Source organism: Homo sapiens, chromosome X, assembly GCF_000001405.40.
Source record: "Homo sapiens chromosome X, GRCh38.p14 Primary Assembly".
Classification (NCBI taxonomy): domain Eukaryota; kingdom Metazoa; phylum Chordata; class Mammalia; order Primates; family Hominidae; genus Homo; species Homo sapiens.
Window position 1 is genome coordinate 124,651,549 of NC_000023.11, and position 27,698 is coordinate 124,679,246.

General features: G+C 35.8%; 1 protein-coding gene across 13 annotated transcripts in view; it reads right to left on the reverse strand.

Moving 5' to 3' along the window:
• TENM1 (teneurin transmembrane protein 1) overlaps positions 1–27,698 on the reverse strand; it is an 828,410-nt gene that overhangs the window by 275,646 nt on the left and 525,066 nt on the right. For 12 of the 13 annotated variants that reach the window (XM_017029210.3, XM_017029211.3, XM_047441760.1 and 9 more), the window contains 3 exons: positions 20,135–20,287; positions 2,036–2,235; positions 366–576 (listed from right to left, as the gene is read on the reverse strand). In XM_017029210.3, the coding sequence (XP_016884699.1) occupies positions 366–576; positions 2,036–2,235; positions 20,135–20,287 (564 nt within the window). The remainder of the gene's footprint in view (positions 1–365; positions 577–2,035; positions 2,236–20,134; positions 20,288–27,698) is intronic. The other variant, NM_001163279.1, reaches the window with a different exon arrangement.

Here is a 27,698-nt window from a genome sequence, read left to right on the forward strand (position 1 = left end):
CTTTTTAAAAATAACAGAACTTAAATTAACTTGCTTATTCCCTTTTTCACTGAAATTGTTCATCTATGTAGCCTTGGTAATAATATTACTAAGGTAATTATTTCTGTTGAGAGCACATAAAAAGATGTATGGCAAGTGTCCTAGAAGAGCAACAAATAAAGTAGCATTAAAAAAAATCTTAATCAGCATTTAAACAACATCAATGATAACAACAATATAAACTTTTATCATAGTAACCTTTCCTCAATAATGACTTCAACTCAAAGTGAGCAATAAGCTTAAATAACCCCCAGGACACTGTCATCACTGATTGTGTCTTTCTAGGGTTGAACTGTCAATTCAACATATTAGGCAAAGCAGCTTACCAATTGCTGTAGTTAACACGAATACTTGCTCCATCTTTTTTCCATCATTGTAAAACGCCAGATACCAAGGTCCTTGATCCATATACTCTATGAAACCTGTCTCCTGAAGCGAAGTTAAGATCAGGTTCCGAGGGGAGTGCTGTGTATCATCAGAGCCCTTGGAGTCCTGCTTGACCAGCTGTTTGCCATCCATTAGTTTTACAAAATCAAACTGGAACAAATACAAACATGAAGATGAGCCACTACTTTTTCTTCTAGACTGATAAACATCCCTAACTTCAACTGCCCTATTTCTTACTTCTTTGCTTTGAAGTTGAGCAAATTGGAAGAGGAGGTTATCAATTTTTAAGTATATTTAGACTTGGCCAGGCACGGTGGCTCATGCCTGTAATCCCAACACTTTGGGAGGCGAGGACAGGAAGATCACTTGAGCCCAAGGGTTTCAGACCAGCCTGGGCAACAAATTTTATAAAAATTTTTAAAAGTTTTTTAAAGAGCATATTTAAACTCAAAAACATATTATTAATTATGAAGAAACCCTCACTGTAATTAAAAATATTATAAACCTTTCAGTTTGAGAGTATTCAAAATAATTGTTTAAAAATGAATAAATAAAAAACAGAAAGAAATCTTGTTTAGTATTATGCAGGAGAATCTTGACATTTTACTAAAGCATCTGATAGAAGATACTTGAAAATACACCTTCCACTCATAAATGTTACTGTGACCTTCTCTACAAATTAAAAACAGTTGTATAGTCTTTAAAATAAATGAACAGTCAAAAATTTGAGAACATTCATCATAATTTACTACGTTTGTGGGTGACATATTTACATATTCAAAAGGCCCCTCCTCTCCATTTTTTCTAATCAGTTGACAAGGACCTGGCACATGTTTCCTTGAACATTTATTTTTTGAATCACATTTGAATGCATTCTAATTCCGTTTCTATTCTGGCCCAGAAGGTAAGGTTGTTTTTTAGTTTGTTTCTTTGTTTAGCATGATCTCTTGACTAACTGAAGGTAAGGTTTTAACTATAGTCATATCTGTTGGGGAAAAAACAAGCCCCAGTGTTTGATCACTTTTTCTACTTCTTAGATGAAGTAGTGCTCGAAATGGGTTCATGTGGGGAAAAAATAAGGAGAAGAAAATAAGAGAAATGAGATGTTTAAAGTTTATGGAAGGGCTATAAAAATCATAGAAGTTTTACACATTTAAGTTATTAACAACAGTAAAGAAAAATTTCTACCTGTAAGACAAAACCTAACTTTTTGACTAATTTCTCACTAATTTCTGATTAATATGCGTTCCTTCATTGGGAAAAGGGGACACAGATGTATGAAATCAGTGAAGGGACTGTGGGCAGTAAAGCTAAGCAAGATGAGAGGTCTGGGAAGCTCATGAACAGCCGGTTCCAGGAAGCAGAAGTCAAATTTAAAGGGTGTGTCTTAAACTTTCTTTTCTGAATCTGCTCTGCTAAATGTTATTCCTTATTTCTCCATGTCATTTTTTTCATTAGTTTCAGTGTAATTATTCTGGATATTTATTCATGACAAATATTTTTCTGTCCTTACCTTTGACAACCACATATTTCATAAGTCACAAACCCTGAACTGTTCAACCCATCACCCTTGAAAAGGGTTTAAGAAAATACCTATAATATCAAATACCTGAGTATGTGTAGGTGGAATGTTTCTTCTGCCATAAATTCCCAGCAGAGAGTCCTTGGCTAAAGAAATATTGAACTTCAGATATATTGGATGGTGGATAGTAATCTGGAAACGCCAGAATAAACCAGGTGGAATGGTCTGCATGACCTGTGCACCAATGTCAACTTCTCCAGTGTCTATCGCCCGTCCCTTCTGAAACACTAGTTTTAAAGGTAGAGAAAATTACACACCATGTTAATCTTAATTTATAAAGCAATGGTTTTTAGCTTTTCAAGAACAGATATATCAAAATAACTTACTCAGCTTTTTCTTCCTCCCCACCCCATCTGTCTTTCAAGGCCTTGCCCAAATTAAATATCATCTAAGAAGCCTTCCCCAACCACCCACTATGTCAGTCTCTCTCTTCTCTTCAAACCCTATTGCATTTATTTCAATCAATTTCACTCCTTTTAACCATTATTTACTGAGTGCTGTCTTGGTAGCTGCAAGAGATACAAAGATGAGTAAGAGGCAGTTGTTGCTCTCAAGGAGCATTGAAAATAGGGAAAATAGGACAAGCACATATAACCTCACTGTAAAGAAAAATAAGTGCTCTGTGTATTTGAAAGAGGGAAAGTTATTTGGTTGGAGGATACTCCTCATCTCTAGCTATCTCTATCCTCTTTATCTTCTTGTATTTCTCCTTAGCACTTATCACCATCTAACATACTACATATTTTACTTATTTATTGTTTATTGTCTATTTTTCCTCAATAGAAAGTAAGCTCTGTGCGGACAAGCACTGTGGCTGTTTTATTCGTCGGTATATTCCCAGTACCTAGAACAATGTAGGCAACTGTAGGCAAAGAACATAGACGATACATATGTATTCATAGAACAAATGGATGAATGAGAAAAAGTTACTATGGGAAGTGGCACTGAAGATGAGCCTTAGAGGAGGACAAGGATTTCAAAAGAGTTATTGGGAAGAGTGGCGCACATGGAAAGGATGGCTTGAACTAAAAAGAGGAAAGAAACTGTAAAGCTAAGGTGTAGGGTATGTGTCTATAGAGAGGAGCAGTTGGAGTTAGGGCTGGAGGGAAGAAGGAAATCATGTTGTCTAGGGCCTAGAGGACCAGTCAAAAGGGTTTATTTAATAAAGGATAGAAAGCCATTAAAGGTTTTTCAGAAGAGGGAAGAGGTTTGGGTACATTAGAAAGGCTAATCTTGAGGCAGAGGTGGGACGAATTAGAGCAGACGGACACAAGAATGACATAGGAATTATGGGTGATTCAAGTGAAATGACATGAAGATCTAAATTTAGGGTATGCCCAAACAGCTCATATAGAAAAACTACATCTCAGTGAAAAATAATTTCATGTGAATGGAAAGAAGGAGAAGATATGAGAGACAATGCTAAGGAAGATACTGCAGTAGAGATTCTCAAACTTTAATGCGTACAAGAAGGCAGTTTTTTAAAATACAATTCTGATTCAGAAGGTCCAAAGTCAGACATTTTTAACAAGTTCCCAAGTGATGCCCATGTCGCATGGTCTACAGCCCACACCCTGAGAAGCAAAGCTCTAGAGAACATTAAGTGTTGGGGCCAATGGAGGGTCAAAGCTAACCCCGTGATTGTGAGTTGGGGGATTTAGACAGTGCTAATAGCAAAAACAGGAGCTGGTCTGTGAGGGAGGATGTTGAGTTTGGGCAATCAGAGCTTTATTATTTATTGTCATATTTTCCAATGATTTCTGATGTGCCAGTTTAATATGTGTTTTCATGGAATTTTTTGTTTTGTGGTAATGGGGAGGGTAGGAATACAAGAGGAGGAGCAAGATTTAGTTTGCCTTGATTTTAAGCAAGGAGGGTTACATCTCAGGTGAGAAAGCTCAACTTGGCCTCATTTCACATCACCTTTATTTTTTTCAGCCATCAACTCCTTCTCCAGACCAAACACAGTTTTAAAACACACATGGTCTCTGTTCTTTGTGCTCACCCATTATAAAGTTAACAGCCCATTAAGAAACACACCTGCAGTGGCTTTATTCAGTGGCCAATGCCTTGCAGCTTTTAACTCCCTAAAATACCTCCATTATTGCTTTTTGTGTTAAGGCCAACAGTAATAACTATTTTAAGAATGTTCACTGTTAACTGTTAATAATAGATTTCAAATGCAATTTTGTACATAATTATGTATTACAGGACACATAATTTTGTGGAATTGACATTTATAATAAAATAGGCTCTTTGAAATGATAAATGACCAACTGAGGACCTTATTTTTCACTGAAAGTTACTTTTTTCCATGTGAGACAGATCAATTTGGCCCCTAAAGGGCTGATTATACATTTAACTCTTAAGTCCTAGAGCTGACAATGTCTTCAATGAGCAGACAATTAACAGACCATGTTTATGTGGCACTTCTGTTCGCAAGTTAATGTTCAGTTTATTCAACTGCTATCCTCATTAGGGGCTTTTATCAATCTTAAAATGCATCATTTGGTTATGCAAACAATATTATAAATATAAAACAATTCAAAATGTTCTAGGTTTGACAAACACTGTTTTAAAGGTGCTAAGAATAGACTTTAATGAATAGATATTGTCATTTTTTAAAAATCTGAACAAAACTGGTTGATGGACATTAACCTTTATATTAAAACCTTACCAAATACTACACCATCTCTTTATTCTGCACTTTATAGCATCATATATTACATAATGAAGCTACTTAAATGTTATTCAATAAATCAAAAGAAAGGAAGTTGTGTTGTTGGGCTTCTCTGTTTATTAGCAAGTCTATGTATCTGGAGTACATATGCATAAGTTATTCATGAAAATAATTTTAAAAGAAGTTGATCTCATCCCTTGAAAGCTTCATTACAGCTAAGACAAGGTAGATGAACAGAGATGACAACATACGAATGAGCACGTGGACTGTAATTTAAATAAAAATAGGCAAAGCAAGCTAGTTGTGGTGATTTGGTATTAGAGAAGAGACATTCTCACAGCTTGTAGGTGGAAAATTTCTCAGCCTCTTACCCTTTAGAGTTTCATGCATCAGAAAGGAAGATATTTCCCTGTTAGCAATCTAGACCACTAAATAGACTGCTCCATTTTATCATCTCTCAAAATTTGTTATAGACTATAGTACAATAACTATGAATTCATTATTTAACTATTTTCCTTAATGTAGCCAAAAGGTGTGGCAAACTAAAGAGAAGGAAATTAAATGTAGAAAAACAATACAAAATAGTATTTTTTGAGGCCAGGTGCGGTGGCTCATGCCTATAATCCTAGCACTTCGGGAGGCCAAGGCGGGTGGATAACCTGAAGTCAGGAGTTCGAGATCAGCCTGGCCAATATTGTAAAACCCTGTCTCCAGTTAAAAAAAAAAGGATTTTTTTTCCAAAAATTTCTGTATTAATATAGGTAAATGGGATCTATTTGGCCAAACTTAACACTGACTCTGATCCTTTGTTTGCAAATTGTAAACAGCAGAGATAGAATACAGCATCCAGGTACAATTTTATTTATTTTTGCAATATGCCTGTTCTAATTGGCATTTAATCTCTTATTTTACTAAAGCATACTGGAAAACCTAGGAAGACCATATTCTCCAGTTATAGAACACTTCCTTGCACAAATTTGAGATTAAATGCAGAGAGCCACAGATCATATCAAGCTGTGCAGTACTGTAGTTATCACAGTCTCACCAATATCCACCAATTTAGTTTGAGCTAAACACTCTCTTTATAGGTTGCAACACAGGCATCAACTGCTGAGCAGGAAAAACCAATGGTAGACAGGCTGTGTTGAAAGAGGGCACACTAAGTGATGGTAACTCAGTTCCAAAAGAAAAGGTCAAGATACTTGGAAGGTGAAAAAAAAAGGGGCCTGGAATTGGTGACAGACAATGTGTGCAGTGGCGGTATCACCTAAATCAAGACTCCATTATATCTAGACTCAGACACACACTTGAATACTAATTACATGATTACTAATGACATTGTTCATATAAAATAGGAGGTAAATAACTATATTCTGCACATATGTGTATATTTATTTTTTCTATTTAATATAGCTAGACGTGGTACATTCAATGATCCTATGCAAAACTCGGTTGAATATTGATAGAAGATAGTGAAACATGGTCATTAAAAAGATTCCACCATTACATTTTAAGGTAAAAATGATCAAGTTAAAGGCTATGGTATAGCCCATAACAGCAATCTGAGTTGTATTTTAAAGACATTTGCAAGTTTCACAAAGTATCTAAGCTATGTTTTCCAAAGAGAAGAAATATATGCATTCAGAGCATATTTGTCCTTTACTTCACCCTATAACATGCTCAAAATCTTTAAAAGATATTGGTGTGTTTTTCAGCCAAATTAGACCTAGTGTGTGTCTCACGATATAAGTATCATCTTCTTTATGTTCCTCTGAATATAATACTTGTTTAACAGTAACAAGTCTTCGCAAATTTAGATTAGCAGTGCTTGGAGCAAAATGGGAGGTGGAACTAACCTCTTCCCTGTGATTAAATGCTTTAAAGGGTTCAAAGGGGTATAGCAAAAGCCATCTGAAAGGTAGGTGGAAAGCTACTGTTTCCATCTATGTAGCTTAATGTAATTTTCCTTACGTGAACTATCGAAGAGAAATATGTATTCAACTCTCAATTTTTCAGGGGTAGATTTTCTGGGTTATGGATTACACATGCTTTTGTATCCATTATATTACCCAAAAGTAGTCAAGAGAAAAAGAAAAGAATAAACCTTGCGCCTGGTGGGAACTTGGTAAACACTGCTTGGATACATTAATAAATTAGTAATGTTGATAATTTTTTTGTTGATAGTAATTTTGATAATATATTTGACATTTTAGTCAAAACGTACAACTTTTTTTATTACTCTCAACTATGTGATAGGTAGGTCATCATATAATTGTTTTTATTAAATGTCCAGTAAGTAGATGTCAAGAATTTACTGGTGAGAGGAAGAATTATAACTATTTACACACATAGGCCTTGGCAATTAACTGTGAATAAAATATGTTTGTAAATAAAATCCTCTGATATGACACTGATAATAGATAGCTCACTGTGTAGAAAAGTTAATTAACTAATCTTACAATTGAGAAATACATTACTTGTATAAGTGTAAACAATTATGTCCAAACACCAAAAGACTACAGATACCAGTACAGTAGCTTATTTAGTATTGCTTACATCTTCTCAGGTAGAAGTAAAATGGCATTGCTAAAATCTTATCCTTAATTAAAGGACTTATTTTGAGTTGCATTTTGACTCTGTATATCTGTTTTTGAAGCTATATCATTTAAAAGACACAATTCTCTATTTAGAAGGATTTCTTTAAATTTTGTTGTAAAAACTTCCACATTCCCAAAAACTTTAGTTTCACAGTTCTTCTGGTGTGGTCTGTTGACCATTAGGTAGCATTCAGAAAAATGAGTTTCCAAACTTAAGGCTCTTGTGACTTGCTATACAATCTCACACGGTGTAATACAAATTACATTTGTAGACGTTTCTGTATACGGATTACAAATGGGTACATGAAGTAGCCAATTACTTTGACTTTTCTTGGTGAAAACTAAAATTGATATAAAGCACAAATGTATCATCAAGTTGTTACATATTCAAACATTTACTCAGACTCATGGGTCAAGGTGGAATAAAATATCTCTTGAAAGAAAATATTGCCAATTGCAAAAAAATCCAAAGATTTATGAATAAATATGACTATATGCAATGAAAACTCCAAAGTGAAATTAAGAAGAGAATGTCCATTTGTAATATCATTAAAAAGAATAAAATACTTAGGAATAATTCAGTAAAAGAAACTGTGAGATTTGTATACTGAGAAACTACAAGACATAATTGAAAGAAATTAAATATTTCCTAAGTAAATGGAAAGATATCCTATGTTCATGGATCAAAAGACTTATTATTGTTAAGATGGCAGTACTTCCCAAATTGATTTACAGATTCAATGCAGTCCCTGTCAAAATTCCAACTCTCATTTTTTTTTTAGAAATAGACAAGCTGATGCTAAAATTAATATGGAAATGCAAGGGACTCAGAATAACTAAAGCAATCTTTAAAAAGAACAAAATTGGAGGCCTCACACTTCCTGATTCAAAACTGATTACAAACCTACACTAATCAAGATAATGAGTACTGGCATTAGGATAGATATATAGATCAATGGAATACAACTGAGAATCTAGAAATGAAACCTCACATTTATGGTGAACTGATTTTCGACAAGGTCACCAAGACAATTCAATGGGGGAAAGAATAATACTTTCAACAAATGATACTGGAACAACTGGATATCCACATGCATAAGAATAAACGTGACCCCCTTCCTCATACCATATACAAAAAACAACTCAAAATGGATCAAATGCCTACATGTAAGGGCTAAAGCTGTACAATTCTCAAATGAAAATACAGGCATAAATCTTTGTCACCTTGGATTTGTCAATAGTTTCTTAGACATGACATCAAAGCACAAATAACAAAGAAAAAAATACATAAATTGAACTGGGAGGCCGAGACGGGTGGATCACGAGGTCAGGAGATTGAGACCATCCTGGCTAACACAGTGAAACCCCGTCTCTACTAAAAAATAGAAAAAATTAGCCAGGCGTGGTGGCGGGTGCCTGTAGTCCCAGCTACTCGGGAGGCTGAGGCAGGAGAATGGCGTGAACCCGGGAGGCAGAGGTTGCAGTGAGCCGAGATCGCACCACTGCACTCAAGCCTGGGCGACTGAGCTAGACTCCATCTCCAAAAAAAAAAAAAAATTAAAAACTTTTGTGCTTCAAAAGACACTATCAAGAAAGTGGAAAAACAGCCCACAGAATGGGAGAAAACATTTGCAAATGATATATTGGATAAGGGGCTTGTATCTATGGTATATTAAGGAGGCTTACAACTCAACAATAAAAAGTTAAATAATTGAAAAAAGAGCAAATGATCTGAATAGACATTTCTCCAAAGAAGACAGACTAATGACCAATAAGAACAGTAAATGAAGCTTAACATCATTATTCATCAGGGACATGCAAATAAAAACCACAATGAGATACCATTTTACACCCATTAGGATGGCTAAAATAAAAACAACAGACAATAACAAGTGTAAGGATGTGGAGAACTGGTATTCTCATACATTGCTGGTGGGAATGTAAAATGGTGCAGTTGCTTTGGAAAGCAGTTCATCAGTTGAAGAACTGTTAAACATAAAATGTTAAACACAGAATTACCATATGACCCCGTCATTCCACAACTTGGTGTATACTCCAAAGAATTAAAAACAGGTTTTCTAATAAAAACTTACACATGAATGTTCATAGAATCATTATTCACAATAGCCCAAAAGTGAAAATCCACAAAAGATCTATCAACTAATGAATGGATAAACAAAATTTGGTATACCTATATTATGGAATATTATTCAGCCATAAAAATGAAGTATTGATACATTGCTGTATATTATATGATTCTATATGAAATGTAGAAATAGGCAAATCTATAGAGACAGTAGATTAGTGGTTGCCAGGGGTTGGAAGGAGGTGGGGATATGGAGTGACAGCCAATGCCTATGAGGTTTCTTTCTGATGTGATGAAAATGTTCTAGAATTAAATATTGGTGATTGCTACACAACTCTGAATAGGGTAAAGATCTCTGAATTGCGCACTTTAAATTAGTGCACAATTATATTATGCTATATAAACTATATCTCAATAAAGCTGTCACAAAAATACAGTTAGATAGTGTGAATTGGCATAGCATATACACAAAAACCATCATGTACTGTCACAAGAGTTTTGATGTATTTCCAAGTGGTTTTAGAATGTTACCTGCTACCTAGAAGCTGAACTATCCCCTGGCCAGTATTTTAGAATGTGTGATTGGTAGTACACATCAGGGATGCCCATTTTCTATATTTCATACAATGTTAGATACTGTTATATGTCAGTTATCATTATCACATCATTCTTAACTTTGGATGGTGGCAGGATGGCTGATTATAGCTCAGTTAATCCAGTTCCCTCTCCTTTATTTTAGAATATAAGTCCCCAGAGGATAGAACATTCACATCTGTCTAAATTTTCGACAGCTACTCATTGGGCATTTAATAAAAACAATTATATGATGAACTACCCATGACATAGTTGAGAGTAATGAGGGAATGGCATATCTTGTACTAGTCCTCCAGACTTGCCATATTGCTATAGCCTTTGATTTCTACCTTTTAGGCATGCAGAAATCTTCAATTACATGAATTAAAACTTCTCACAGACAAAACCCATGTCAGAGAGTAATAATAATAATAATAGATGCTACCACACTTACTGTGTCCTCTTTTTCAGTTCCTATCTCTTATTTCTAAAATACCAAAATGCCTCTTTCATACTCAGTATGCCATCCAATTTGATGTCCCAGTTTATCTCTAAGGCTCCTCCCTCCTCTTCTCTCCTGCTTATGCTGGGACTTTGGTCTTTTTGCAATCTTCTTTCTTACTCATACTCGGTGTCTCCCTCTCTATTGGCTCCTCATTCTTTGTCTTCAAACAAACACAAGTCTCTCGCAGTGGCTCACGCCTGTAATCCCAGCACTTTGGGAAGCTGAGACGGGCGGATCACAAGGTCAGGAGTCTGAGACCAGCCTGGCCAATATGGTGAAACCCTGTCTCTACTAAAGATACAAAAAATTAGCCGGGCGTGGTGGTGCGCGCCTGTAATCCCAGCTACTCAGGTGGCTGAGGCAGGAGAATTGCTTGAACCCGGGAGGTGGAGGTTGCAGTGAACCAAGATCGCGCCATTGCACTGCAGCCTGGACGACAGGGCGAGACTTCATCTCAGAAAAAAAAAAAAAAAAAAAAAGTCTCTCTTCTTTTGAAAAATTTGTAAAAAAACTAATAACATGACCCAACTGCCCTTTTGTCAAATTATCATACTGTTTATCTCCTTCCTTTCCTTGCTGAACTGTTTCTATCAGCTGCACTATTGTTTCATTATCCACTTACCACCTAGGCTATTACCATCTGCATTTCCCCCTTACCATTCGATTATTCCATTCTCCTAAAAATGTACTCCTCAAGATCACTAGGAGTGATTTTTCTTGTTTTCCAAGGTCTGGCGCAAACTACTTCTCCAGAAACAGTCGTATTTTAATCTTCTTTCTTTTAAGCCTGTTAATCACCTAACCATCTTATTTTTATTTCTGTACAACAGTTTGTTGCATGTTGTTTGTATTGTATGTGTATGTATGCATGTTTCTTCCAGCTCTCCTATGTAACGGGAATCTGCTCAAGGGCAAGCACTATGTCTTCTGTTTTATTTGTTAGCTTTCCACAGTACTTAGTACAGTTAAAGTAGCAGCTTGGCTGATACAGGATTAAAAATTATGAGCTTCTGTGTTTCTGAATACTAAGAATTTCATTTTTGTTCCCTTGCTATTAGTTTAATGGAGCATTTGAGGTGGTCAGGTATGGTTTCTCTTTCAACTCAACTTTTTAACTGTTATTCTTCCCTCTCCTAGAACCAAGAAGAGAAGATGGTATCTGTGTATAGCTGTGGCTGACACTTTCAGTATAATTATAATGAAAATAGAAAATGACCATTAAAATGACTAAGGGAAAATGGAAGCTACAAGAAGAATACAGAAGTAAACGCAAGGACTCTTAATATTAGACATGTGTAGGCTAAAAAAGAATGTGTGATTATCATCTAGGAGATTACAAAAGTTACACGCAGGAAAAATGCAGATTTGTGCATTAAATTCTGGAACTGTAAAACTTCATAGTCAAAAGTAAACTTCAAGTAACTAGAATTACATTGGACTCCACAAAAAAGGCTAGTAAATGTTTAAACTTCCTTGAAAAGTAATACAGGTTCAAAGATATAAATGGATACTCAACAGAATTAAATATACACATGGCTGATAAACCTCTACAATGGACTAGCTCCTCCACAAAACTAAAATGTTGTAAAAATGTTATGGGAAGATCCCTTAGCTTTGAAAGGACTAGTCCAGGAGGATAAACATGGCATTCTATAGCATACCACTTAGTGACCCTGTCAGATGCAGACTGTTAGACTAGAGGGACCACAAGACAGACCTATTTCTTACTGCATCACAGGAAAGGTGTGTATTAGTTTTTTTTTTTTTTTTTAAGTAAAATGAGGATGAAAATGAAACAAGAATGAAACACTAAACATATATGACCAAGGACATTTAACGTGAATTTTTAATACAATAAATAAGTTTGTCTTTCAGCATAGGGAACCCTTTCCATAAATCTGTTTTAGAAGTCAAGTCTCCAGTATGCTTTAGGAAAGCTTTTGTTAAAACTGAAGTATATTGATAAAGTGATTTAATATAGTTGAAAACAAGCTGCAGCACTCTAGCTGGGCCCTCTGAAACCTTCTGTTAGGGAAACATCTATATAGCATTATAGGAAACATTTACTGTAATTCGCCATCAATCTTTAAAAATAATACTGTTACACTCCCAACAATGTTGTCTTTGTTAGCGCATTACTTCTATTTTATTCATGTGGTTTGTTGTGCTTACATGAATTATTCCCAATTCTACCTCAATATCTTGGGCTATAATATCCTTTAAATAAAAGATACTGAAACTATGGGTTGACTCAAAGGGCTGCTGAATATCCACATGTCCTATGAACCAATATTGCAGAACCACAGAATTATACTGCAGGACTGCGTTCCATCTGAATGCACAATGATTACCTGGGTGGGGTTGGTGCAGTTTTTTAGTTTGGTACCACATAATGAATCTTTATCTACTGATTGGGTCTGTGAAATAAATATCTGCCAAACCTTAAGTAAATTAAAATTTAACCTGTTATTTCAGGTCCACAATTGGCATTGTATAAAATGTTCCAAGGCATTTATGTCTCAGATAAAGCAAAAGAAAAAAAAAAAAAAAAAAAAAAAAGCAAAACACACACATACACACACAAACACACCCCTCTTCTGGATAGGTCCACAATGAAAGGTGGCTGTAAACAGTACATTTTGCACTGTCATTTAGTTTTCAATTCCCAAGAGTACTTGTGGGGTGTGTGTGTGTGTGTGTGTGTGTGTGTGTGTGTGTGTGTGTATCTTTTGCTTTGTGGAGGAGGGAGAATGCTCGCTGAAAGGAGATCTTAGATGTGAAATATAAGATTTGCCAAGTACTCTTAAGGAAGAGTACAGTATTTGAACTGTATGCATTGAGATTTTTAATCAAGATAGCCGTTATTTAAACAAACTGGCTTTGAGAAAGGAATTTTTTTGAAAAATGAAAGAAAAAGCCCAAGGAAGGGTGCTAACAGTAAGGAGAAACTGGATCACAATCTCAGCTCTGCCTTTAGTTATGTCTATTGTCTATTGCGCAAGGCAAGTCATGTAACTTTCTTGTGTTTTCCTTTTCAACTATAAAACATGGGTAACACGGCTGGGCGTGGTGGCTCACGCTTGTAATCCCAGCACTTTGGGAGGCCGAGGCGGGCAGATCACCGGAGGTTGGGAGTTCGAGACCAGCCTGACCAACATGAAGAAACCCTGTCTCCATTAAAAAAATTACAAAATTAGCCTGGCATGGTGGCACATGCCTCTAATCCTAGCTACTCGGGAGGCTGAGGCAGGAGAATCGCTTGAACCCGGGAGGCGGAAGTTGCGGTGAGCCGAGATTGCGCCATTGCACTCCAGCCTGGGCAACAAGAGCAAAACTCCGTCTCAAAAAAAAAAGAAAAGGTAACGATAGCTGCCACAGAATAAAACTATTATGTGGATAAAAGACATTAAAGTATTTTACAATTGTAAATGCTAAGTGCAAGCTGTGTTATATACATGTCAAAACTCCAAACTTATAAGGTAGGAAACTGGGAATTAATTGTTTGAATTGCAACGGAATTCTCTGCAAGTATTTTAAATGGCAAATGTGGTTTTACAAACTTTATAGATATACATTTCAACCTCTTTCCAGGAGTATATCCCTTTTGCAAAAATAGGTCCACTTTTACTTGTATTGGCTCATTATTCTTCCTTAACTGCAGAATTTGAACACTAACGCATAGTGTGTACAGCTGAAAGGGATCTTACAGATAAGTTAGCCTTGTGTTTTGTCAAAGCCTTAGCAGCTGCTGAGAGAATAGAGGGCAAATAAAGCAAAGAGGAAGGGAACGGGAGTTTTGCCAGGAATCTGCCCCCTTCCCTCGCCATATCTGGAGAAACTTGGCTTTTATCTGTTTTCTATTTAAATTTGTAATTTCTGGGTAAGATTTAATTTGTAAAAACGTTTTCACTGCCTGCTAGCCCCGCCTCTTCTCTGCCCCTAGAAACGGTTGAAAGCCAACTCCCTTATTTTTCAGATGAGAAACTGGAGCCTAGAGAGGTGAGGCAGTAGTCACTATTTGGTCTTGGCTAAAGCATCTTCATGACAGGCTATAAATTGTGTCATATCAATCAGCTGTATTTTGTTTACATGGTCATATATTCAGCAGACACTGACTAGAAAAACGTCATTTTTTTTCAACTTTGTGGAGATAGATTGTGCAGGATGAATTTAAAAGAAATGCCACTTTCCCCCAAGGCCAGGCTTATGCAAAATTGTAATGGAGATAAAGGCTGCTTTTAGTATTCTTTAGTTCTGTCTTTCCCCACCCATCCTTCTTTGTTCCCAGTGTTCTATTTTGGCATCCAACCTGCAGGAATTCAGTATCCTCAACTACCCAATAAATTTCATCTCCATTTATATTGCTACTGACAATACAAGACTTTACCTGAGCCTTAATGCTCCTGGAAAACAATTTTGCTTAAGAAATTCCCCAACCTTTTGTTTTCCGAAATTCTCCCACTTTTTTGTGTCCTGGGAAATGGCTTATGCAAAAAAACCGTAACAATGACAACAAACAAACAAAAGTCCAAACAAACACATACAAAACACCCTTCCCTAAATGACTTAAGATAAAACTCTCTGTCCCTTCTTTCCCATGATTTCCCTAAGACTCACCTATAATTCCACCCCTGAAAAGACCAAACACAGACTTTTCCCCTATTGCCTGAACCCACTGAAAGGCCGTATACAGACCCTCCAATTTCCTATTCTTTGTCTCATGAATAATTAGTTGAGATTAGAACTGTCTGTTTCCCTGAAACTAGCTAGAAACAAAGATACACATTTCCTGTTCAGCTAACTGATACTTCCCCTGATTGCAACACGATCCCACCAGTAAATCATCTCACATGTAACCCATCTACCCCTTCCTAATAAGACCAAGACAAACCTCCCTATTGCAATAGCCTGAATAAAATCAATTGTTTTACTTGTTCAGTTTTTCTCTGTGATACTTATTGAAAACCTTTTCAGAAATTTATATACTTAGTTTATCCTATACTATTACAATAACAGGTGAAAAATATAAAACGTGAAACTCGGTACCTTCTCTCCTAGTCCCAGCTCTTTCTATGTGATCTCAACTTTTCTGGACCTAATTTTCTTAATTTCTAAATAAGGATATTGGATTTGATAATCTTTAAGATTTTAACATTCTAATTTATTGATAAATTACGTGGGGGTAGTTATTTTTAATTTTATTTATAGACATTATATAACTCAGGTCTAGGAATAAGTCTTTTATTTGTTCATATCCTCTGCTCTGTTTAAAGCAGTTGTTACATAATGTTTACTGGTTAAATAGTTATAGGCCAGGCACAGTGGCTCACGTCTGTAATCCCAGCACTTTGGGAGGCCGAGGCAGGTGGATCACTTGAGGTCAGGAGTTTGAGACTAGCCTGGCCAACATGGTGAAACCCCATCTCTACTAAAAATACAAAAATTAGCTGGATGTGGTGGTGGGCACCTGTAGTCCCAGCTACTCAGGAGGCTGAGGCAGGAGAATCACTTGAACCTGGGAGGCGGAGGTTGCAGTGAGCCGAGATTGCACCACTGTACTCCAACCTGGGCGACAGAGTGAGACTCCATCTCAAAAAAAAAAAAAAAAATTATGACTAGTTTGTAAGACTCTAATGTAGTGAGGGACTATTTTGGTACAATACTTTCAATTTTATAAATATTTAATACTGACAACTGAGATTTTTCTGGTAGATTACAGTATGTGGTTGTGACTTATATCTGCTTATTGAAATTCTAGAGTGTTCGTAAATTTTTTAGCATACTAAATGTCTATAATCAAATACTCTTTTTCTTTCATTTGGATAACTAAGTGGTGAGAAAATTCTGTTTTCTCATGAGAAGCAGATATATAATATATATATATAACAACTGTTAATGGGAAACCAATTCCAGTAGAATTTGATGTTTCTTTAAAAAGTGCCATTCATCGCCATTCTAACTGGTGTGAGATGGTATCTCACTGTGGTTTTGATTTGCATTTCTCTGATGGCCAGTGATGATGAGCATTTTTTCATGTGTCTGTTGGCTGCATAAATGTCTTCTTTTGAGAAGTGTCTGTTCATATCCTTCACCTACTTTTTGATGGGGTTGTTTGTTTTTTTCTTGTAAATTTGTTTCAGTTCTTTGTAGATTCTGGATATTAGCCCTTTAGAATGGCGATCATTAAAAAGTCAGGAAACAACAGGTGCTGGAGAGGATGTAGAGAAATAGAAACACTTTTACACTGTTGGTGGGACTGTAAACTAGTTCAACCATTGTGGAAGACAGTGTGGCGATTCCTCAAGGATCTAGAACTAGAAATACCATTTGACCCAGCCATCCCATTACTGGGTATATACCCAAAGGATTATAAATCATGCTGCTATAAAGACACATGCACACGTATGTTTACTGCGGCACTATTCACAATAGCGAAGACTTGGAACCAACCCAAATGTCCATCAATGATAGACTGGATTAAGAAAATGTGGCACATATACACCATGAAATACTATGCAGCCATAAAAAAGGATAAGTTCATGTCCTTTGTAGGGACATGGATGAAGCGGGAAACCGTCATTCTCAGCAAACTAACACAAGGACAAAAAACCGAACACCGCATGTTCTCACTCATAGGTGGGAATTGAACAATGAGAACACATGGACACAGGAAGGGGAACATCACACTCTGGGGACTGTTGTGGGGTGGGGGGAGTGGGGAGGGATAGCATTAGGAGATATACCTAATGTTAAATGACGAGTTAATGGGTGCAGCACAACAACATGGCACATGTATACATATGTAACAAACCCGCACGTTGTGCACATGTACCCTAGAACTTAAAGTATAATAAAAGAAAGTGCCATTCATCATTATCTGATGATGATAGTGGTAACAGTTTAAAAATAATAGGTTTTAGATTGGTGAGTAGAGACCAAACTTTAAAGAGAGAAAACACTTCGATCTCAAGAAGGTCATCATTCACTGCAAAGTTCATAGTGGTTTGAAAGCAGGTTCTATAGCACCTAACGGAATGTCAATGAAGTTCAAAAACCTCAAGGTGATTTTCCAATCTTTTGGTCCGATAATAACTGCTGCTAAATTAAGCAATGTGTCAGACACTGTGCTATATGCTTTATATCAATTGTTTAATTAACTCCTTACTATGACCATATGAGACAGGTACTATTATTATCACCCTTATTTTACAGATGAGGGCACTGGCTGGGCGAGGTTGTGTCAATTACTTGAGGTTGGAGAGATAATGATGGTACAGTTAGTATTTAAAGCCAGGTCTCTCTGACTCCAGAATCCAGGCTTTTAACCACAGTGCTATAATGCCCAATCTTCTAGGAGAGTAGAGAAAACAATTTAGGAAGAATGGTCTGGTTGTCAGTTTCATATTTTAGTGCATACAGTATCAGGACAAGCTTCTAGAGCTGTATTTATGGGATGTGTCTTATGTAGAAAATCATAAAAGGATACAACTGAACATTTGAAAATATCCTTCTACTGTATTATATCTTCTGCAAGGTTTGGATTAGTATACATATGGCATTAAAAAAAAAAGGAGCTATGTTTTTACTTGGTAAGTAATATGCAGTAAAGACCTAATACAGCAAAACCATGATGTGCAGTTATAGTTAAGGTTTTGTTCAGGCTTCCAGAAAAAGTCAGGATAAGCTAGCAACTTGGTATATGAGGCATCAACCCATAATGATTTTTCTTAATAAAGTATTTAATTGAAGTCGGTTTGCTCTGTTTGTTGTTATAATTGAGCAGAAACTTAAATCATTTTTCATTTATGAGACTTGTCACAACACATTAAAAATAGAGGTGAGTAGAATTTCTCTAAAATCTATCACGAATAGACTCTGGGACTTTGCTTTCATTGTGTAAAAAGTTTTTTGTGGTCTTCACAGATATTCCATATGAGGATTTTAGTACAGTGTAGAAGTTAAGAGACTGGACTCTGGAATCAGACCACCACTTACTAGCTCTGTGACACTGGGCAAGTTACTTAACCTCTCTGTGCCTCTGTTTCTCATTTGGACAATGGGGACCATAATGTGACCTTCATGATATAATCCATGTAAAGTTTCTGGAACAATTCTTGACACGTGGTAATTTTAATTTAATTTTAGCCATCATCATCAACTTACTTTATGGAAAGGAATCAAAAGAGGTCTGAATTAGAATATAAAATCAAATATACTATAATGACAACTATGTGATGACCTGCTGTCTTGCATGTTTCATTTTCCTCAGACAGATAAATTCTGATTTTTAGTGTGAATGGCAAGAAACCCTAGGCAGATAATACCAAATGATAGCTCTTGTACTTTCAGATATAAGGGGATAAAACAGCAGAAGAGAAGGTAAGGGAGAAAAAGCAGGTAAGGGAGATAAGGAAGAAAAATCTGAGCAGTGAGTGTGGCAGACTTTCTTATCTGCCACCTCTGACCCCTCTACTCTCCTCAGCCACTCTCAGGAGTAACAGTGAAACTGCTGGGAAAGGTCACTCCAGGCTAGAAACAAGTATTTTGAAATGAGAACATACAGCAAACTGCATCATGAATTGAAAACTAGAGCAAACCATAATATTTTCCTGAACCCTAAGCATTAATTTTTACTGAAGCATGGATTACAGTTACCTTTTCAAAAGCACACAAAAACAAGAGGAAACAAAACCCACAAACAACCCCCCCGCCACCACGAAAGGAATTAAAAACACAAGGGAAGAGTAGTAACCCAAATAACTACTGTATTAAAAAATGATGTCTTAGTTGCAACTAATGAACCAAAATAAGACTGTGTTACCACCTGTATAAAATTGTAAGCTTCTTGGAGGTAAGGTTTTGGTCATTCATTCATTTATTTACGTTTGGTCTCCAAAAATTACTCAGGATATTGCTGGCTATATATATTATTCTCAATTTCTACCGTTTAAATTGACTTCCTGGAATTTTACAAGGCTCAAGTCCCTCTGTACTGAATCCTATTTCAATAAAAATATAAATTTCCAGCTATTTTCACTGCTTGTATATTAAGACTAAGATCATTCAGTGTGAATAAGATGTTGGGAGTGCTGGTACTGTGACATTTATTATAAATAAGTCAGGTAGTTCAAGCTCATGTTGGTTAAACTTAACAGTTCAGGACTCAAAGTGATTTTTTTTTTCTTTCTCCCAACTAGGAAGAATTCATGTTCCCAAACTAGAAAAAAATCATGTTATCCAACTTTGACATAAACATTCACCTTTACATTAAGCAGAAAAAGCTTTTTCGTATTACAAACAGAAGAAATTTCCATATACCCTTTGTAAAATGTTATATATAAATGCTGGGCTTGGACACAGAGAATGTAATCAAAATCCCACGTTGCTTCAGGGTAGTTATATGCGAAATGCAATTTCCATTGTATTGAAGCCTCCATTCTGTAAATATTTATCTATTTTCAAAATTGCCAACATATTTGAAAACTTTAATTGGTTTATACTCAAGGCACTGGAAACAAGGAAAATTTGCTTTCACAAGATATTTACATGCATTTATTCTGTCCACGTAGAGGACTTCTTTCAAGTGATCATGAAATTTAATGTGAAGTGAAACCATCCCAGCTACAGTTCTAATGACCAAATTAGAAGAAAAGTAATCAACAATCAATCATTTTGATCACTGTACCTTTTTTCTCTGATTTATCAGAAACTTTTCCTCCAATTGGAGAGTAAGTAGTGTCCATGGACTCGGTCCCCCTGTTCCCTTTGCTAACTCCATTTGCATACAGCTCTCCTTCAACTGGTTGCAACTGCCAAGTCAGGCCGAACAAATGCACTGCTGCAAGAGAACAAGCCATACATTAATTTATTCCAGACTCACTGAGAACATCTCCAAGCCAGGTATCCCTTTGCACCTAAAAATGTTACGAACAGTTTTCTTTTAGTTAGGCCAAGTAACTGGGAGTTTATACCTATACATCATACATGTAGCTACTTACATGCTACGACACACATATAAGTGTTAACAGCTGTTAAAGTAGCTGTTGTTAACATTTTGAGGCTAAAGCTATCCCAATGATAGGATTAGAAATTGGAATCAACTATAGTACAATTAGACTTAACTTCTCACTGCTGTGACCCTTTCCTTTTCCATTCCCCTTAGTCATGTAACACTAGTTTCCATATGGAAACTATTACAGAGTAATGGTGGACAGACTACCATGAGAACATGGAAGACCTTCTCTATGGCTTTAATTCAATTCAGTTCAGCAAATATTTCCTGAACGCCTAGTATGAATAAAGCCCTATGATAGTTGCTGCCGGTGTTAAAATGTAGATGCTTATTAGGGTGGGATTTGGTAGTAATACCAGGATAAAATAATATTATGCAGAATGATTGACATAAGACAGGTTTAAACTGCTATCAGAAGATTAAAAAGTACCCAGTGTTGGTCACTGTGCAGGAAGATGGGCACTCTCATACACTCCTGATGAGAGTATAAAAATACAGTGACCTTTTTTGGAGGGCAATGTGGCACCATTTATTAAATGAACTTAAAATCTGATTTACCCTTTGAGCTAACAATTTAATTTCTGTGAATTAACTATGAATGTTGCCAAAGTACAATGCTGTCTATTGTAACATCTGAAAACAATATTAGAAAGTTATGATCAATCTAAATATTCATCAAGAGGGGATTAATCAAATAACTGATGAGATAGTAAATAATACAAGATTATGCGGCTGCTAAAAATCATGTTGCAGAAGACCATGCAATGGCATGGGAAATATTCATAAGGTATCAAATGAAAAACATTAGGCTACTAAACATTATAAATAGTGTGATCTGAAGTGTGTGTGTTTGTGTATGTGTGCACATGTTCATGTCTGGAGAAAAAAAGGTTTGGAAGAATATATAGCAACATGTTAACAGCATGGGAAGCTTACAGAGAATTTTTATTTTTTTTATGATTTCTGTGTTTTCCATATTTTTTTTACAATGAACATGTGTAACATTTGCCATCTGTGAAAAAGAAAGCTTTCGGTTTAAAGGAACAGGAGGTTAAAATAGGTTGGGCTGATCAAGAATAATTTTTGAAGGAAGTGGGAGTAGATATAGACCTTGAAGGATGTGTAGGGCTTTGACAGGTGACAACGATTGGTGGGGAGAAGGGACAGGGCTGAACAAAATATGACTTTGTAAAGTACATGATGTATCTGAGGCAAAAGAAGTTGCTGGGGTTCACTGGAGCTTAGCTATGTGCTGGTGCCAGTGGAAGTTAACGCCAGAAAGGAAGATTAGAGCCATATTGTGGAGCACACTGGTGCCACACTTATACATTTGGATTCAACTTATTAGGCAACGCAGAGGCATTTCTATTTTTTGACAGGTTGAGTGATATGATCAGAATTTTTCGGATGATTAATTTGAGAGTGGGGAGCACTGAAGGTTTTTAGGCAAATAACTGATATAATAAAAACATCCTTTGCAGAAAGATAAATCCAGTAGTAGTATGGAGAAGAATGAATTGGAGACCTAAAGGTTTGGCAAATAAATCAATTGGGATGGCATTGCAATAATTTAGGAAAGAAGTAATTAGTGCCCCAATTAGAGTAGTGTCACAGGAGTGTCTCAGTTATTTGCAGTGGGAATGCAAAGAAGGAGATTTCTTAAGGAGAAATTGCATAAATGGCATTTCAGGATTTGGCAAGAAGTTTCTTTCTCTCTCTCTCTCCCTCTCTCTCGCTTTCTCTGTCTCTGTGTGTGTTTGTATACACATTCATGCATGTGTATAGGTGTGCTGTGGGAGGGCGTAGAAAAAAGTGAGAGAAAGGAGGGAGGAATCCAAAATGGTTAAGGTTTTGAGTCTAACTGAAACAATGGTGGAACCATTAATAGAGTTAGAGAATTCTTTATTAGTCTAGCACTTGCTACAAATAGTTGGTACTGGATTTGTGTTTTGTTGATTGATGACTATTTGAATATGTGGCTTGAGACAGGATGAGAAGATGCAAGGAATGCAATGAATTCAGCCTTTGGGGTTGTTGGGTGTCTGGGACTGATGGGCCCTCCAGATAGTGAATGCTAACTATAGGAGGTTTGAAGTTCTGGAGGATATTAGAGCTAGAAAAAGAATGAAAAGTCATATATGCACAGAGGCAATAGTTGAAGTTGTGAGAGTGAATGAAGTCACTGAAGGGAGAGAATGTTAGGAGAAAACAGTTCCTAGGGCAAAAAGCTGGAGAAACCTCTTGTTTGTTTTCTCATTGCATTTTTCAACATCAACCAAATCCTATCAAAAGGCAAAAAAAAAAAAAAAAAAAAAAAAAAGTGAATCTGCTCATAAGCCATTTCGTATTTCTCTTTGTGTTCCTAGGTGAACTGAAAGGGGCTAATTAGTATGTGTAACACTCATGTATAGTATTTGAGTTAGTGACCGAGAACAGAGAAGGATAGCCTATTTAAAAATCATTCATCCACTTTTAGTTGGAGCTAAAGAGATTTCTAACACCTACTTCCTAATTTATCCTTAAAACTTTTAAGCATTTAACTGGTTTCTACCCTTTTCTTTGGATTAAGGCCAGTGCTGCCTGATGAATTTCTCTTGCAATTATTGGAAATAATTTTAACTCAAAGGATAGTGGTTCTGAGTAAGGTATGGTATGGCACATTAATAAAGCTATATTAGTGACATCCTTGAGATTTCCTTGCCAATGGACTCTAGTTTAACACACCTGTTCCAATTAGAGGTATTTTTCCGTTTTACAGAAAATTTGGTCTACTCTGCCTCCCAAATAATTTGAATATGATGGATAGTAGGAGCTATATTGAAAATGTGTTTCATTCCCTGGGTTCAATTACTTCTGTGAAATTAGATGGACCATATATAACAAAAGGAATAGTAGATCTCATTTAGAAGACTAAGGGGGCTATTTTATATACTTTAAGTTGAGCCACTTTCCTGGCGGCACTTGAAAATGCGAGAAAATGCATGTGGTGAGATTCACTTCAAAATATATAAGGTAAGGATTAATTTTTCACCATCGAATGAAATGGACTGCTTCCAGCCAATCAAGACAGATAAAGAGGTATGGGCACATTTAGTAGAACACTCTTTGAGAGCAGTGAAGCTTTGTAATTTTTTGAACTTACTATATCTTTCCCAGGGAACAAGCTGTTTGTAATATATGTTTGTGTGAATATATAATGAAAGTTAATTATTTGCTACAGACCACAGACAGGTATCATGGCAAGGCTACTGGCCTTTTATTTCTTCCAAACATAGGTACTGGCCAACCAAAATGGCTATCAGATATAAACAACTAATACAGTCTAACCAGTGTGTACACACTGGCTGAATGTCAGCTTTAGATGCAGTATAAAGACAGCTTCCTTAGTTTCTAGTGGATTCCCATCCAGATTTATGCTATGTGTTTAGAGCCACACTGTTTAGGTGAGTCCCCCAAACCCAAGAATAGACATTATGAGCCAATTGGCTAGAATAAGGGTAAAATTAGTAATGAACAAACAGGGCAATATTAAGTCATATTCACATGTTGATTCAACAAATACTTTTTTGAGTGCTTACTTTAAACCAGGCACTGTTTTTTTTTTTTTTTCTGAGTTTACAGCAGCAAAAACATAAAAAAACCTCTACCCTCCCAGAACTTACATGAGAGGGTAGTGGGTTAAGACAGGCAAATAAAAAATACACGATATAAAATATAAGATAGAATACAACGTTAAGGGAACAAACCAAAAAACAAAAAACAACAAATAAACAAGATAACGTTGGGTAGTTATAAGTGCTATGAAGGTAAAAATAGGTAAGGGTGGTCAGAGAAGGCCTCTTGGAGGAGGTAACATTTGAACCAAGATTAGAATGAAGTGAAGCCATTGTGAATATCTAGTGGAAGAATCTTCCAGGCAGACAAAACAGAATTTATAGAAAGCCCTGAAGTCTTACATGAAGTGTGTGAGAAATACTAAGGAGCCCAGTGTGAGCTCAGTCAGAAAGGCAAAGAGTGGTAGGAACACTCATACACATAAGTCCTGGACCCATAATCTTGTTACCTCAGTACGCTAGCCAACTTTGCAAGCTGGTCACCAACAAATAAGAATTAGAAAGTAATAAACCTAAAATCTCACATACCAGAATATATACCTCCAAATGAGCACTGCTGGTTGAAGTAGATGTAATATAAGCACTCTTGACTGTAAGCAAGGTCAAAGTTACTGTTCCCTAAGACATATATAAAATATATATATATATATATATATATATATATATATATATATATATATATATATATATACTCAATGAATGGAGATGGATGCTACCCAGATCTCTGAGGGAGTACCCATCCTGTTATTTGCATTTCACTGAAATTCAATGGTTGGACAGAATGTTTATGTCTACTCAAATATTCCAGGAATGGTGTATTTTCAGCAGATTAAAAATGGCAGTCCCTAATGCTCTTTTAGCAAATGTTCCCTGATGCTGAGCCCTGTACATTTTACAATTATTCTCCTTCCTTTTCTATCCAATTGCAAAGAGCTGTGCTCTAAAATTATAAATTCATTACAAAGTTCAGGTAATGAATGGATTGTCTTGGCTCTCCTCAATTCCAAATTCAATCAAGCACCTTGGAACTCAAGGTAGGCTGACCCCATGTACAGAAGCTCTTCCTCTTCTTAACGTACACATTTCTGTAGCAACCTCCAAGTCTCTCTGCAGTTTTCTTTCTGCGTACTGTTAGAATGTTGGACTATGTTTCTCATAAATAAGACTGGTGGTCTCTAGCAACATTTATAATCAATAATCCTTTCCCATCCCACTCTCTTTCAAGAGGCACTCATTGACTCAAAAAAAAAAAAAAAAAAATCCCACAGGAATGCGTCAGAAGTAAATGTGGGAAATACATGCTGAATAACTTAGGCCTATGCTATCCAATATGGTAGCCACTCATCACATGTGTCTGTTGCACACTTGAAGTGTGGCTAGTCAGAGTTGAAGACTTGATATAAAAGAAAAAATATAAAAGATCACATTAATATTTTTATATTATTTACACATTGAAATGATAATATTTTGGATATATCAGGTTAAATAAAATATTTATTTAAATTAATTTCACCTGTTTCTTACTTTTTTAATATGGCTACTCTAAAACTTTAAATTACATACATGGTTCACAATTATTTCTGTTGAGCAGTGATGATCTTGGACTACCTACATTTCACAAAGAGATATGATGTTTCTCTTTTAGCACCCTATCATAGAATCTACCATACTATATTAAAGATATCTGTTTACATGTCTGTCTCATCATTATTAAGCACTCCAAAGGCAGGAACAATGCCTTCTGCATTTTTCTGTTTCTGGTACCTAACTCTGTGATTGGTAGTCAGGAAGTACTCTTCATTGCTGATAGGAGTGTACAGTGGTAAAGTGGCTTTGGAAGACAATGTTGATATCTATCACTATTTAAATTGAGAATATTCCTTGACCAAGGAATTCTACTTCTAGGAGTCTGTACTAAAGAAATAATCACATGTGGGGCATAAAGGGGCATGTGCAAGGAAATTCGCCATTGCATTGTTAATATATTGACTTTATTAATGTAGTTAAAAATTAGAACAACCAATATACCCATCTATGGAAGAGTGGTACACGCTTACTATGAAATCCTTTATAAGAATTAAAAGGACTGATACTGAGAAATTATCAGATTGAAGGAAACTAAGGAGACATGATGACTAAATACAATATGGGGATCTAGAAAGAATCCTGTAACAGAAAAGACTGTGGAAAAACTGGAGAACTCTGAATTAAACTCTAAGTTTAGTTAATAGCCTCATACCAATGTTAATGTCTTAGTTTTAGTAATTGTACTATGTGCAAGATGCTAATATTGGGAGAAGCTCAGTGACAGGAATACAGTGATTCTGTGCTATATTTGTAACTTTTCTGTAAGTCTAAAATTATTTCAAAATAAAAAGCCAAAAAGAGAGAGAAAAAGGACTGATCAAGTGATATGCTGGAGCTGGCTTATACTGGTTTACAAAAGCCAACTGTGCACATCTCTTCCCAATTCCACCTCCAATGACTTTATATTGGCAGTTGAAATTGACCATGGCAGGTGTATTTACATCCTGGGAATTAGGAAATGTGGCAGATCAGGCTTTTTGGGCCAGAGAGCTTGTTAAACATTTATCAACACATCACTGGATGATCTGTATGTACTGAAATGAAACAAGCTCTAAGATTTTATGAAAAATATTGTAGAACAATGCATATTCTACGATCTGGTTTTAGTAGAAAATATGTATTTATATATATTTACATTTTTTAAATGCATAGAAAGAGACCTGAAAAATGAATACCAAACTATTGATGTTTAGAGTAGGGAGCTGTGAAAACCAAAAGGATACTTTGACATTTTCATAGTATTGTTAGAATCTTTTACAATGATAATGTATTCATGTATTATTATATAATTTTAAAATACCAGGTGCTCAACAAACCTTTGTTAAGCTGAATGAATAGTTTCATTGTTTTATTCTATCTCTTTTATTGCTATTTTCTGTCTAAAATTGGGCTTTTCAAAACATTTCAAAGCAGCAGAACCATTCAGCAATTAAATATGAACAGTTCCCAGATACATAAAACAGATAAAACAGAATTTGACTGAAAGGGATTGGCTGTCCAAAAGATCCAAATAATATAGTTTGAAATCTAGTGGCCTACAAAATTATCTTCAAAATATCTGAATAAGGAAAATTTGGGTGTTGGGAAGAATTCCTTTTAGGTATTTAAATTTATTGAAATATCTTTATAGTGCTACTGTCAGGAGACAGGACCCCTTTTCATGTTATTATGTATCTTTTGGGGTTTTGTGTCCACTCTCTTACAGGTAATTTTTGAATACACCTAACAATAAATAGGGCTTTGATAATAAATATACAAGTTAACCTTGAAATTATAAGACTTTTAAGACAAATGTAACTTTGCTTTCAAGGAATTCATCTTGCACCTTGAAATGCAAAGATATTCAGCTAGGGGTGTTATATTTATTTGTTGCAAGAATTTTGGGTTTTTATTTTCTAAATCCACTAAATAAACCTATTTAGAAAGTTTGAAACCTATCTTACAAATAAAGTCCTGACCATTATGGATCATGTCCTGCTTCGCAGCATGCCAAGACAAAAGCATATAATATTTTCTAAGATACTTTGTTTTCCCTT